The 12682-nt window shown below is 39.6% G+C and overlaps 1 annotated feature.

Annotated features, from left to right (window-relative positions):
* Positions 9341 to 9893: an enhancer, noted in NCBI's record as "H3K27ac-H3K4me1 hESC enhancer chr8:18372869-18373421 (GRCh37/hg19 assembly coordinates)". NCBI's record gives its function as "activates a minimal SCP1, AML or CMV promoter by ChIP-STARR-seq in primed H9 embryonic stem cells {active_cell/tissue: H9 hESC(primed)}" and the evidence as "EXISTENCE:reporter gene assay evidence [ECO:0000049][PMID:30033119]".

The raw sequence follows: 12682 nt of genomic DNA on the forward strand, positions 1-12682 counted from the left end.
GTCTTCCCAATGTCATGAAAGTTGCATCATAATGCAGTGTGGGGAAGTAGAAAAAGCCTTGGGCTGAGAGTCAGGAGACATGGGTCTTAATACCCTAACACCTGGGACAGTCCTAGTTTCTATGCGTTGGCTTGATATAATTCTAAGGAACATCTCCTTTCATTCTCAAAAGTGAACCAGTTTAAGAAGTGAATCATATGACAGGGAATATCACAAAAACGGCTCCTCCTCCCTGAATCAACATCTTCTCCAATGAGACTTTTCAGCTTCTTCATCAAACAGTGGGATCTTTTTCCTTTGCCTTGAATCTGGACTCATCTTATGACTTGACATTGGCCAATAAAACTAAGCGGAAGTGGCTGGGTGTGGTGGCGCACACCTGTAATCCCAGCACTTTGGGAGGCCGAGGCAGGTGGATCACTTCAAGCCTAGGAGTTTAAGACCAGCCTGGCCAATATGGCGAAACCCCATCTCTACTAAAAATACAAAAATTAGCCAGGCGTGGTGGTACATGCCTGTAATCTCAGCTACTTGGGAGGCTGAGGCAAGAGAATCGCTTGGACCTGGGAGGTTGCAGTGAGCCAAGATTGTGCCATTGCACTCCAGCCTGGGTGACAGAGGGAGACTCTGTCTCAAAAAAAAAAAAAAAAAAGTGACAAAAAAACTCATAGTGGATGTCATGTGCCAGTTCCTAGCCAAGGCTTCCACATACCTTGCCTGTTTTTACTGTTTCTCTTGGAAGTCTGCCCAGGTGCCATGTGAACATGCCTGAGCTGGCCTCTTGGAGCCTGAGAGACCATGTGGAGTACAAACAAATCCTACTGGCTGAGGCCAACACAGGCCAGCTGACCCCAAAATGACCTGGTAGCTGACTGCAGATGCCTAGATGAACTTATTCCACAGCAGATACACTATCCAGGTGAGCCTAGCTTAAATTTATGATCCATTGAATCGTTAGCTAAATACATTTTTATTGTTTAAAACTAGTAAAATTGAGGTTATTTGTTATGTGTCAGAAGCTAACTGATACATATGGCCTCCCTAGTTCTAATGACCACTTTGTCTCTAACCATCCTCGCAAACTTGAGCAAATCCCTTAACTCTGGAGTTAAAAGTTAAGTGAAGGCTGGGCATGATGGCTCACACTTGTGTTCCCCGCATTTTGGGAAACCAAGGTGGGAGGGTCGTTTGAGGCCTGGTGCTCAAGACAAGCCCGGGCAACAGAGTGAGGCCCTGTCTATGAAAATAAAAGTTAAGTGAAAGGCAAATAAATCTTGTAAAGAGGTAAGTGCTGTCGCCTCTATTCGTTTCCTATTCCTATTGTTGCCGTAAAAAAATTACCACAAACACAGCGGCTTAAAACAACACAGATTTATTCTTTTCCGGTTCTGGAAACGAGAAGTCCCAAATCAGTTTCAATCAGTTTCAACAGCAGAATCTGTTCCCTGCCTTTTCTGGCTTCTGGAGGCCACCTGCATTCCTTAGCTCTGACCCCTTCTTCATTCCAACCTCTGCTTTAATTATTGCATGTCTTACTTCCTCTCTGAGCTCCTGCTTCTGTCTCATAAGGATCCCTGAATTTATATTTGGCCCACCCAAGTAATCCAGGATTATCTTCCCATCTCAGGATCCTTAATTTAGTCACAACTGCAAAGCCCTTTTGCTGTACGATATAACGTTCACAGGTTCCACGGATTAGGAACTGAATATCTTTGGGGACCATTATTCAGCCTACCACATTTCCCAGCAACTCTACATAGTAGGCACTCTCTTGAGAACTAGAGAAATAGAGATACAAAGAACAGTTCCTATGCAACAGTAGGAAGCGGACTGCAATGACTTTCATGTATTCTTGAGCAATAATACTCTGGTGTTCTTCATTTCTGTGTTGCCACAATTGCCCCTTGCATAGCATAAGCCATTGCTTGAGGGGTGATACAAGAATGAACATTGTTCATTAAGGGCTTGAGATCTAAGGATCAATTTTTTTCCCAGTGCCTCATCCTAAGTGAGTCATACGGCCAGAATGCATTACATATATATATGCATTACATTCTGTTACCTGCTATATAGTCCGTACCTGAGATGGTGATGGTTTAGTAAGTGCAGCTGGAAAAAATGAGAAACTGAACGAGGGACATATATTAACTCCAACCTGGGAAGAGAGATGCTGTAAATGGAAGCTATCCATACAAATTACACACGCTAGAGTAATTACCTATTTGTGGTCAAGGGTGCAAGAGAGGGTAGATGGTAACAATAGGGAGAGAGAGTGTGCAAGAAAAGGATGAGACCTCAGGAAAAGGGGACTGAAAAATGCAAAGGAGAAGAAAGGAAAAGCAGCTCCATTTGGAAGAATGAATCTTATAAAATACCAAATGGCACAGCGACCACATGCAGGTAGCGCAGGCTGAGTGAAAGGCGGAGCCACCCGCCCAGCCCTCCTGCTGGGACCCATAAGGCATGTGTAACCATTACCATGCCATCTGCTTCTATGATTAATTGCTTTTGAGGAAGCACTTATTCTCAGTGGGAAAAGATCAGAATATTACAAAAAGGATTTCTAGAAATGATAAAAATGACTGCTTGTCAAACTCGAATTGGGAAGTAAAACAGGGCTGGTATATGTGCTACTAAGAGAGAATCTAGAACTGAGACTCAGATGAGCTGTCCCTGCCAGGGGACCTTTGATGCATCAGGATCCTGGGACAGCAAGCAAAGTAGGGAAGACTCACAACATGAATCAGGATAACAATAACAACAAAATTTGCTGAGCACTTACTATGTGCTAGGAGTTCCATATGCATTAAGACACTTGGTACCAAAAATGACACTGGGAGGTAAGTTCTACACACCCTTGTCTTAAGATAAAAGTGGCCAGGGGAGGTGGTTCACGCCTGTAATCTCAGTACTTTGGGAGGCCGAGGTGGGTGGATCACCTGAGACCAGGAGTTCGAGACCAGCCGGATCTCGATAAAAAATTAGCCGGGCGTGGTGGTACATGCCTGTAATCCCAGCTACTTGGGAGGCTGAGGCAGGAGAATTGCTTGAACCCGGGAGGCGGAGGTTGCAGTGAGCTGAGATCGCGCCATTGCACTCCAGCCTGGGCAACAAGAGTGAAACTCCATCTCAAAAATAAATAAATACATAAATAAATAAAAGCTCTGAGGTACAGAAACTTCCTGATTCTCATGGAATAATAGCAGCAGTCTAGACTGAAATCTTTCCTACATTCCTACATCCTACAAAAACTATACAAATCAGCAAAAAAGCACAAGTTAAACTACCCCAAATATGTTTACAGTGTGCTTTTCTCTACAAGAGAAAAAAAGTCTTAAAATTGTATTCAGATGTAACCAGGAAGAGAAATATCCGGAATGAGCCAAGGCAATTCTAAAGTTCATGCAAAAGTAAAGATGAAAGTACAGAGAAAAGAGAAGACAATAACCCGGTGCAGGTTGGGGACTAATTGTGCAAAACGCTGAAAAAAAATCACCCCCAGAGAGATAGAGACCCACTCTGATTGAAGAAATTCTGAAAACAGGGCTGGTAGAGCAGAGCACTGGCTAAAGGAGACTTAGAAGGAAAGGAGTTGAAAGTGCTCAGAATACATGATGGCTATTTTGGAAAAGCACCGTTTCTGGAAGAGGGGGAGGCAACGTGGAGCAGAATGCTTGTAGGTGAAAGGAAAGGAAGAACCACGTGGCAAAAATTAAGGGGCCTTTAGAAAAAAAAAAAAAAAAGGAAATGACAGAATCAGTTAACATTTCCTTCCCAGAGGCACTATTTATTAAAAAAAAATTGTACCTTACTACGCCGAGAAAAAAAGTACTTAAATTAAGAACCCTAGTAAGTCCAGCCTGGCCAACATGGCAAAACCCCTTCTCTACTAAAAATACAAAAATTAGCCGGGCATGGTGGTGTGCGCCTATAATCCCAGCTACTCAGGAGGCTGAGGCAGGAGAATTGCTTGAACCTGGGAGGCCGAGGTTGCAGTGAGCCAAGATCACCCCATTGCACTCCAGCCTGGGCGACAGAGTGAGACTCCATCACAAAAATGAAAAAGAAAAGAGAAAGAAACCTAGTAAACCACGCAAACTCTTTACACCTACCTTTAAAATAATCACGTGTTATTACTGGTCTATGAAAATAACGTAATGTATTTCAAATAACAGAAAATTACAGCTGATATACATACAAAGTTACTGTAAGAAGAAAACACAGCGTGAGAATTTGACTGAAGTTTTCTAGTCCTCCTCCTCCCTCTCCCCACAAAAGGCAGGGAAGACTCACCTTTCAACCAGCATTAAATGTAACTCGCCTTGAACAAACATTTGAAGATATGAAAGACATCTCAAGATGTTCCATGAAATCGGGAAATACAAAAAAACAGTTGTGAAATAAGAGTTAACCAAACTAAAGGGAAAAAAGGAAAATCATCTCAAAAATTTAGATTACAAGAAAAAATACTGATTCAAAATATAAGGAACACTGAATAGAGGAGTAAAGATAGCCAAAACAAAGAAGACAAAATAAGAAAGAGGTGAAGGGATCCAAGAGAAATTAAGATAGCTATAGAAGGTCGGCAAAAGAGACTCAACATACATATAATTGAAGTTTCAGAAAATGGAAAAAGAACTGCACTAATACTTAAATATAATCCAAACCAATATTTCTGAAATTGAAGAACTAACTATACATATTGGAAGGATCTCCTGTGGACCTGGAAATTTTGAATCAGAATAGCCAACCATGAGATATCTCAGTAAAATAATCAGACTTGATAAAGGGAAAAAAAAATCCTTTAGTTCTCAAGGTTAAAACCCAAGCTGTTATAAAAAAGGAAATCAGCTTGGCATTAGATAGCCTGACAGCAACATCCAAAGCAAAACAAAAGTAAAAGATTTTTTTTTAAACTCATGAAAATGTGAGCCAAGGATTTTATATTTAGCCAAACTGTCCTTCCAATATTAAAGGTAAAGAAAAAGTTTTGAAAATGCAAGACATAGTACAACATTTGGGAGCCCCACCTAAGAAATTTAGTTGAATATGAGCTTTATCCAACCAAGAGAAAGTCATGGAAACGTTAACAAAACATCTCTTAGTGAGCACTGAATTTATTAATCTTTAAAGACTAAGACAAGCATAAAGACAAGAATGGAGAAACAATATGAAACTTACATACATATTCAAAGAAACAACAAAGCCGAAAACCTGGGAGGAGAGAGAGGAAAGTCAGTGTAAAATAAGTTTAGTAATTGCCAAATAGAAAATAGAATTAAAAGATTTGATTTACAACTGACAATTCACATAGAATATGTGCAAGTAAGGAAAGGGGAGGGGTGACTTATCTTTATAAAGAACAGTAGTAGAATAAAATAAAAAATGCCATAAATATAAAAATAAATATGCATTTTCTAGAGAGTGAAAAGACAACCCACTGAATAGGAGAAATGTTTTTTTGCAAATTATATATCTGATTAAGGGATAAAGGTTTAATACTCAGGATATATAAAGAATTCCTACAACTCAACAACAAAAACACAAAAAACAAAATAAAAGATTTGAATAGAAATTTATCCAAAGAACTTATAGAAATAGCCAATAAGCACATGAAAAGATGCTCAACATTATTAGTTCTTAGAGAAATGCAAATCAAAACCATAACGAGATTACACCTCACACCTACTAGGATGGCTGTAATCAAGAACACAGAAAATAACAAGTGTTGGCAAGAATGTGGAGAAACTGGAAGCCTCATACATTGCTGGGGGGAATGTAAAATGGTGCAGCCATTGTATAAAACAGTCTGGCAGTTCCTTAAAAAGTTAAACATAGAATGACCATATGATCCAACAATTCTACTTTTAGATATATACCCAAAATAATTGAAAACTGGGACTCAAACAGATACTTGTATGAGAATGTTCATAGCAGCAGCATTATTCACAATAGCCCCAAAGTGGAAAAAACTCAAGTATCCATCACCAGATGAATGCTGAACAACATATGGTGTGTACACATGGTATATTTCACCATAAAAAGAAATGAAGTTCTGATAAAGGCTACACATGGATGAACCTTGAAGACACTGTGCAAAATGAAATAAGCCAGACACAAAGGGACAAATATTGTATGATCCCATTTCTATGATGTATCTAGAACAAGCAAATTAATAGAGAAGGAAAGTAGAATAGAAGTTACTAGGAAGTGGGGGGAGGAGAGAATGGGGAATTATTGCTTAATGGGTATAGAGTTTCTGTTTGGGATTATGAAAAAGATTTGGAAATAATAGTGATGGTTGCACAACATTGCAAACGTAATCAATGCCACTGAATTGTACACTTAATGGTTTAAAATGGCAAATTTTGCGTTATATATATTTTACCACACACTCAGAAAAGCAACGGAAGATCTATAGAGACAGATTGCAGACTGGCGGTTGCCAGGGGGCTGAGGGAAAGAAGAAAATGGGGGTCAACTGCTTAATAGGTACAAGGTTTTCTCTCTGGGTGATAAAAAATGTTTTGGAATGAGATAGAGGTGGTGGTTGCACAGCATGGTGAATGGATTAAATACCACCCAATCGTTCACTTTAAAATGGTTAGTTTTTTTTTTTCAGTTTTGTTGATGGAGGTATAACTGACAAGTAAAATATATAAATATGTAATGTATACAAAGTGATGTTTTGATATACGTGTACATTGTGAAATGATTTCCATCAAGCTAATTAACATTTCCATCACCTCACATAGTTACCTTTTTTTCTGTAGTGAGAATACATCAGTTCCACCATCTCTGCAAATTTTACATATACATTATTAACCACAGCCATCGCAATGTACATGAGATCTTCAGAACGTATTCATCTCATAACTCCAAGATTGTACCCTTTAGCCAACATCTCCCCATTTTTCCTACCTCCCAGCCCCTGGAATAACTGCTCTGCTACTCTGCTTCCTTGAGTTCTACATTACTACATTTCATATGAAAGTGAGAGCATGTGTATTTGTATTTCTGTATCTGGCTTATTTCACTTAAAGTAATGTCCTCCAGGTTTATCCACATTGTTGCAAATGACAGGATTCTTTTTTTTTTTTTTTTTTTTTGAGATGGAGTGTTACTCTGTCACCCAGGCTGGAGTACAGTGGCACAATCTCGTCTCACTGCAACCTCCACCTCCCGGGTTCAAGCAATTCCCGTGCCTCAGCCTTCCGAGTAGCTGGGTTTACAGGCATGCACCACCATGCCCGGCTAATTTTTGTATTTTAGTAGAGATGAGGTTTCACCATGTTGGCCAGGCTGGTCTCGAACTTGTTACCTCAAGTGATCCGTCCACTTCAGCCTCCCAAAGTGCTGGGATTGCAGGCATGAGCCACTGCACCTGGCACCCACACTGCTTTTTTTTAAGTTGATTATTCCTGTGTGTGTGTGAGTGTGTGTGTGTGTGTGTAGACATCACAATTTCTTTCTTTATCCAGGGACACCTAAGTTGATTCCATCTCTCGGCTATTGTGAATAATGCCGCAGTGAACTTGGGAGTACAGATAACTCTTTAACAAACCAATTTCATTTCCTTTGGATAGATACTCTGTAGTGGGATTCCTGGATCAAATGGTAATTCTGTTTTTCATTTTTTGAGAAACTTCATAGTGTTTCCCATGACAAGGTATAAAGGATCCCTTTTCTCCACATCCTCATCAACACTTGTTACCTTTTGACATTTTGATAATGGCCATTACAACTAGAGTAAGGTTATATCTCACTGTGGTTGTGATTTGCATTTTCCTGATGATTACTAATATTGAGCACCTTTTCATATACCTCTTGGCTATTTATATATATTTTTTGGAGGGATGTTTATTCAAGTCTTTTGCCCATTTTTAAATTGTCCTATTTGTTTGCATGCTATTGAGTTGTATAAATTTTCAATATTGACTCTTTATCATATACATGGTTTGTGACTATTTTCTTCCATTTCGTGGAAGAAATATTGCCTTTTTATTTTGTTGACTGTTTCCTTGGTGTGCATATATTTTTAGTTTGATGTACTTTACATTGTTACACTGAAAGTCTTTAATCCACTTTGAGTTAATTTTTGTGTGGCCCGTAAGGTAAGGATCCAGTTTTTCTTTCTTTTTTTCTTTCGCATTTGGATATCCAGTGTTCCCAGCACCAGTTGGAAGAGACTATCCTTTCTCCATTGTGTCTTCTTGGTGCCTTAGTTAAGGATTAATTATACGTGTGGGTTCACTTCTGATGTTTCTATTGTGTTCCAATGGTCTATGTGGCTGTTTTTATGCCAGTATCATACTGTTTTTATTACTCTTGCTTTGTAATATAATTTGAAATCAGGCAATGCGGTGCTTCCAGATTTGTTCTTCTTATTCAGAGTTGATATTTGTGGCTTTTTTGGAATTTTGATGGGGATTGCATTGAATCTGTGGATTGCATTGAATCTGCAGATTGCTTTGGTATTATGGGCATTTTGATAATATTGATTATTCTGATCCATAAACATAGGATGTACTTCCATTTATTTGTGTCTTCTTCTATTCCTTTTACTAATGTTTTACAGGTTTTAGTGTATGGATCTTTCACTTCCTTGGTTTAATTTGTTCCTAAGTATTTTACTCTTTTTGATGCTATTGTAAATTGGATAGTTTTTTTAAATTTCTGTTTCAGATAGTTTGTTTTTAGTGAATAGAAACACAACTGATTTTTTGTATGTTGCTTTTGCATCCTGCAACTTTACTGAATTTATTTATTAATTCTAACAGTTTTATGATGGTCTTTAGGGTTTTCTATACCTAAGATTATATCATCTGCAAAAAAAAAAATTAAATTCTACTTTCCTATTTGGATCCCTTTTATTTCTTTATCTTGTCAGTTTCGTCTGGCTAGGACTTCCACTACTTTGTTGAATGGAAGTGGTAAGAGTGGGCATCCTTGTCTTGTTCCTGATCTTGGAGGAAAATCTTTTTATGGCAGCAGCAGTGGCATTGGTGTCAATGAGTGGTGCCTGTGGAATGGCCATGGAGCTGGAATCGTGAGTGCATGCATGTGTAAGGGGACGACAGCTCCAAGCTTTGCTGTGGCGGTGGCACTAGCATCTTGGGTGCAGGAGCCCTCACTGCCTCATTGGCAATGGTATGCAAGGTGTGGGTACTCTTACAGTGGCTGTGGAGTTGGACTCTGGAGTGCAGGTATGAGCAGGGCTACTGCTGCTCCAGGGACATGCCTGTTGGAGTGGTGGCTCCAGTGTCTGTCGTGCAGGTGTTCATGGAGCTGTCATGGGGCCAGGGGCTCCAGGGACTGGGGCGTGCTTGCTGTGGCATTGTCTCTGACGTCTGAGGCACAGGAGTTCATGTCGCAGTGGTGGAGGTGGGGTCTGGAGCATGGTGTGCACAGAGCAGCCACAGCTCTGGGGTCTGGGATGGGTAGAGGGTTGGAGGGGTGGGTGGCAGTCCTGGTCCCCACTGGCACAACAGTGTCTAATTTCTGTGGGAAGGTAAAGAGCAGCATCTCCTTCTCTGAGGGGTTCATGGCAGTGATGGCTGTTGGTTACATCAGTGGCAAAAGCTTCTGCTGTTCTCTGAAGAGCAGGCCACTGGGGGCTGTGACAGAACCGACTGCATAGCTGAATGATGGCCCTTCCCAATTTCTTTGTTCCTAGCCATCTCGATGTGCCACAGCTAGGCTGTCTCTCCAGTGATCCTTTAGCGGGGGTCATTATCCATCCATTGTTCCACTGTGTTGCTGGGCACATTCTTAATTGGACCCTTGAGCCCTCCAAAGGCTTTTTTCATTTGTGGATAGCTGCTTAATTGTTGCCCTTTGTGAGGAGATGAAGGCTGGTATCTCCTACTATGTCACCTTGCTGACATCACCCTCCTAAGATGGTTAAGTTTATGTTATGTGAATTTCATCTCAATTTAACAAAGCGATTAAAGAATGTAAAAAGCCAGGTGTGGCAGTTCCAGGGAGTCTGAGGCAGGAGGATCCCAGCTACCAGGGAGGCTGATGTGGGAGGATCACTTGAGGCCAGGAGTTGGAGACCGGCCTGAGCAACACAGCAAGACCCATCTCTAAAAAAAAATTTTTATTTATTTTTTCATTTACCAGTACCACTTGCCAATTTTTTTTATTTTTTTTTTTAACTTCTAAAAGGGATAGAAATAATCCAATGAAACAGATCACATATAGAGAAAAACACAGTAAATACACAATGTCATACGCATGCTAAAGATAACATTAGAAAAGATTACATATTTGAGACCAAATATACCAGTCACATCAGTGAGTATAAACGGAGTTGATTCACCTATTAAAAGAAAGTTTTCAAAAGTGCCTCACAAACCCAATTCTATGATGCATAGAAGAGACATACCTATAACAAAGTTATTTAGAAAGGTTAAAAATAAAGGTCTAGGCAAAGGTAACCCAGACAAATATAAACATTAAGGAAAAAGTGTTATGATTCCTATAGAGAACAGTAGAATTCAGGGGAAAACTATTAAACGATTAAAAATGATAAAGTTCAAACTTCAGAATGAAGATTTAATAGTTATCATGATCTATACACCAGCAAAATAGCAACCACCTTCATGAAGCAGAAACTATACTAATAATTGAGAGAAGCACACAAATAATAAGAGATTTGAATGTGTAACTCTCAGTCCAAGGCAGAACAAGCTAATGGAAAATACTTAAATATTTACGGACCTAAAAAACAAAAAGAGCCCACAATCACTAAGGTAGAATCTATCGATATATGTAAAACTTTAAACCTTAATATTATAGAACATACCTTCTCTTCAGGAGCACAAAGAACATTCATGAAGATTATCCATACTGTGTTACAAAGGGATATCAATCATCTATGAAATAGATATAATATAAACAATCTTCTCCGATCACAACACATTCCAATAAGACATTAATACTGTAGAGGAGGAAAATATAATTTTCTCTCTACCTTTAAAGTTCTCAGTTGGAATGGGTCCCTACAACAAAAAAGACATTAAGAGGAGAAAAACAAATTAATTAGCATGCATACTTCAGGTAAACATGGGAATATGAAAGGAAAATAAATCTTGGGACCACCAAATCACTAAGCCAAAGTCAGGCTTGGAATTGCATCAGGCAAACCTGCCTCCCATTTTATTCCGAAATAAGATAGCTACAAAGATAAGCTACATACCTCCCTCACAATTTGTCCACAAAGTAATTCCCCTAAAACAGTTCTTTTGAATTTCAGTTTGGCAATGTAAATTGATAGCTTATTTTCACAGGTGCAGGACAAAGGACAGAACTCAAAATCATCCCTCTACTCACCTAAGACAAATGCATATCTGATTGCTTCCTCTACCCTATTGTTCATGGAAAAATGCAGATTCACTGAGGCAGTCTAAGGCATAAGTGACTATTATTCTATACTCCTCTCACATGTAAATTGTGTATTCAGAGAAAGGATGACCAAAGACTCAAAAGAATGCAACTGTTTGTCTTTTATCTACCTATGACCAGAAGCCCCTGCTTCGAGTTGTCTTGACTTTCTGGACCAAACCAGTGTACATCTTATACATATTGATTGATGTCTCATGTCTCTCTAGAATGTATAAACCCAAGCTCTGCACCGACCACCTTGAACACATGTCATCAGGACCTCTTGAGGCTGTGTCATGGGGGTGTCCTTAATCTTGGCAAAATAAACTTTCTAAATTGATTGAGACCTGTCCCAGATACTTTTTGGGTTCACGGAGATACCCAGAGAAATGAGTAAATCCCAAAGTGGTGGCTGTGTGTATTAGTCTGTTCTCATGTTGCTAATAAAGACATACCTGATACTGGGTAATTTCTAAAGGAAAGAGGTTTACTTGATTCACAGTTCCACCTGTCTGAGGAGGCCTCAGGAAACTTACAGTCATGGCCGAAGGGGAAGCAAACACATCCTTCTTCACATGGTGGCAGGAAAGAGAAGTGCTGGGTGAAGGGGGAAGCCCCTTATAAAGTGATCAGATCTCGTGAGAACTCACTCACTATCATGAGAACAGCATGAGGAGAAACTTCTCCCATGATTCAATTACCTCCCACCAGGTCCCTCCCATGACAGGTGGGGATTATGGGATTACAATTCAAGATGATATTTGAGTGGGGAAACAAAGCCAAGTCATATCACTGTGAATTCAGGTTTTAATACCTTAGCCTACTGAGCAAAAAAAGAATGGAGTGGGAAAGGCCATTTACGGGTAAGTGCCCAGCACAAGCTTGGCAAACGAGGGTAAGGTGTGTTATGCAGATCAAGTCCATGCTTTCTCCATTGAGAAGACTCTCTAGTGATTCTCCTCTTCCTGGTACAGAGGGAGACACTCTTACAAATGAAGGTTTCCTTTGTACATGTAGATTTCCTCTACAAAAGGGTAACTTCTACCCGTTTTTGGAGCTTTTCCTCTGTCTGCAGTTTCTCAAAATAATCAGCTCAAAATAATCATCATGCTAAACAGGCTTATTTTGGGGTGGCATATTCTGGTCTCCTAGAGTCATATTTTGGGGTGGTATATTCTGTTCTCCCACAGTAACAAACATTTAACAAGGCCCTTCAACTTAGAAATGAAAAATATCTCTAACAAACAAGCCTGGGTTTAAGCAGAAATGGAAACCTTAATTGCAAAATTTTTTT

Source organism: Homo sapiens, chromosome 8, assembly GCF_000001405.40.
Source record: "Homo sapiens chromosome 8, GRCh38.p14 Primary Assembly".
In the NCBI taxonomy this organism is placed as follows: Eukaryota; Metazoa; Chordata; class Mammalia; order Primates; family Hominidae; genus Homo; species Homo sapiens.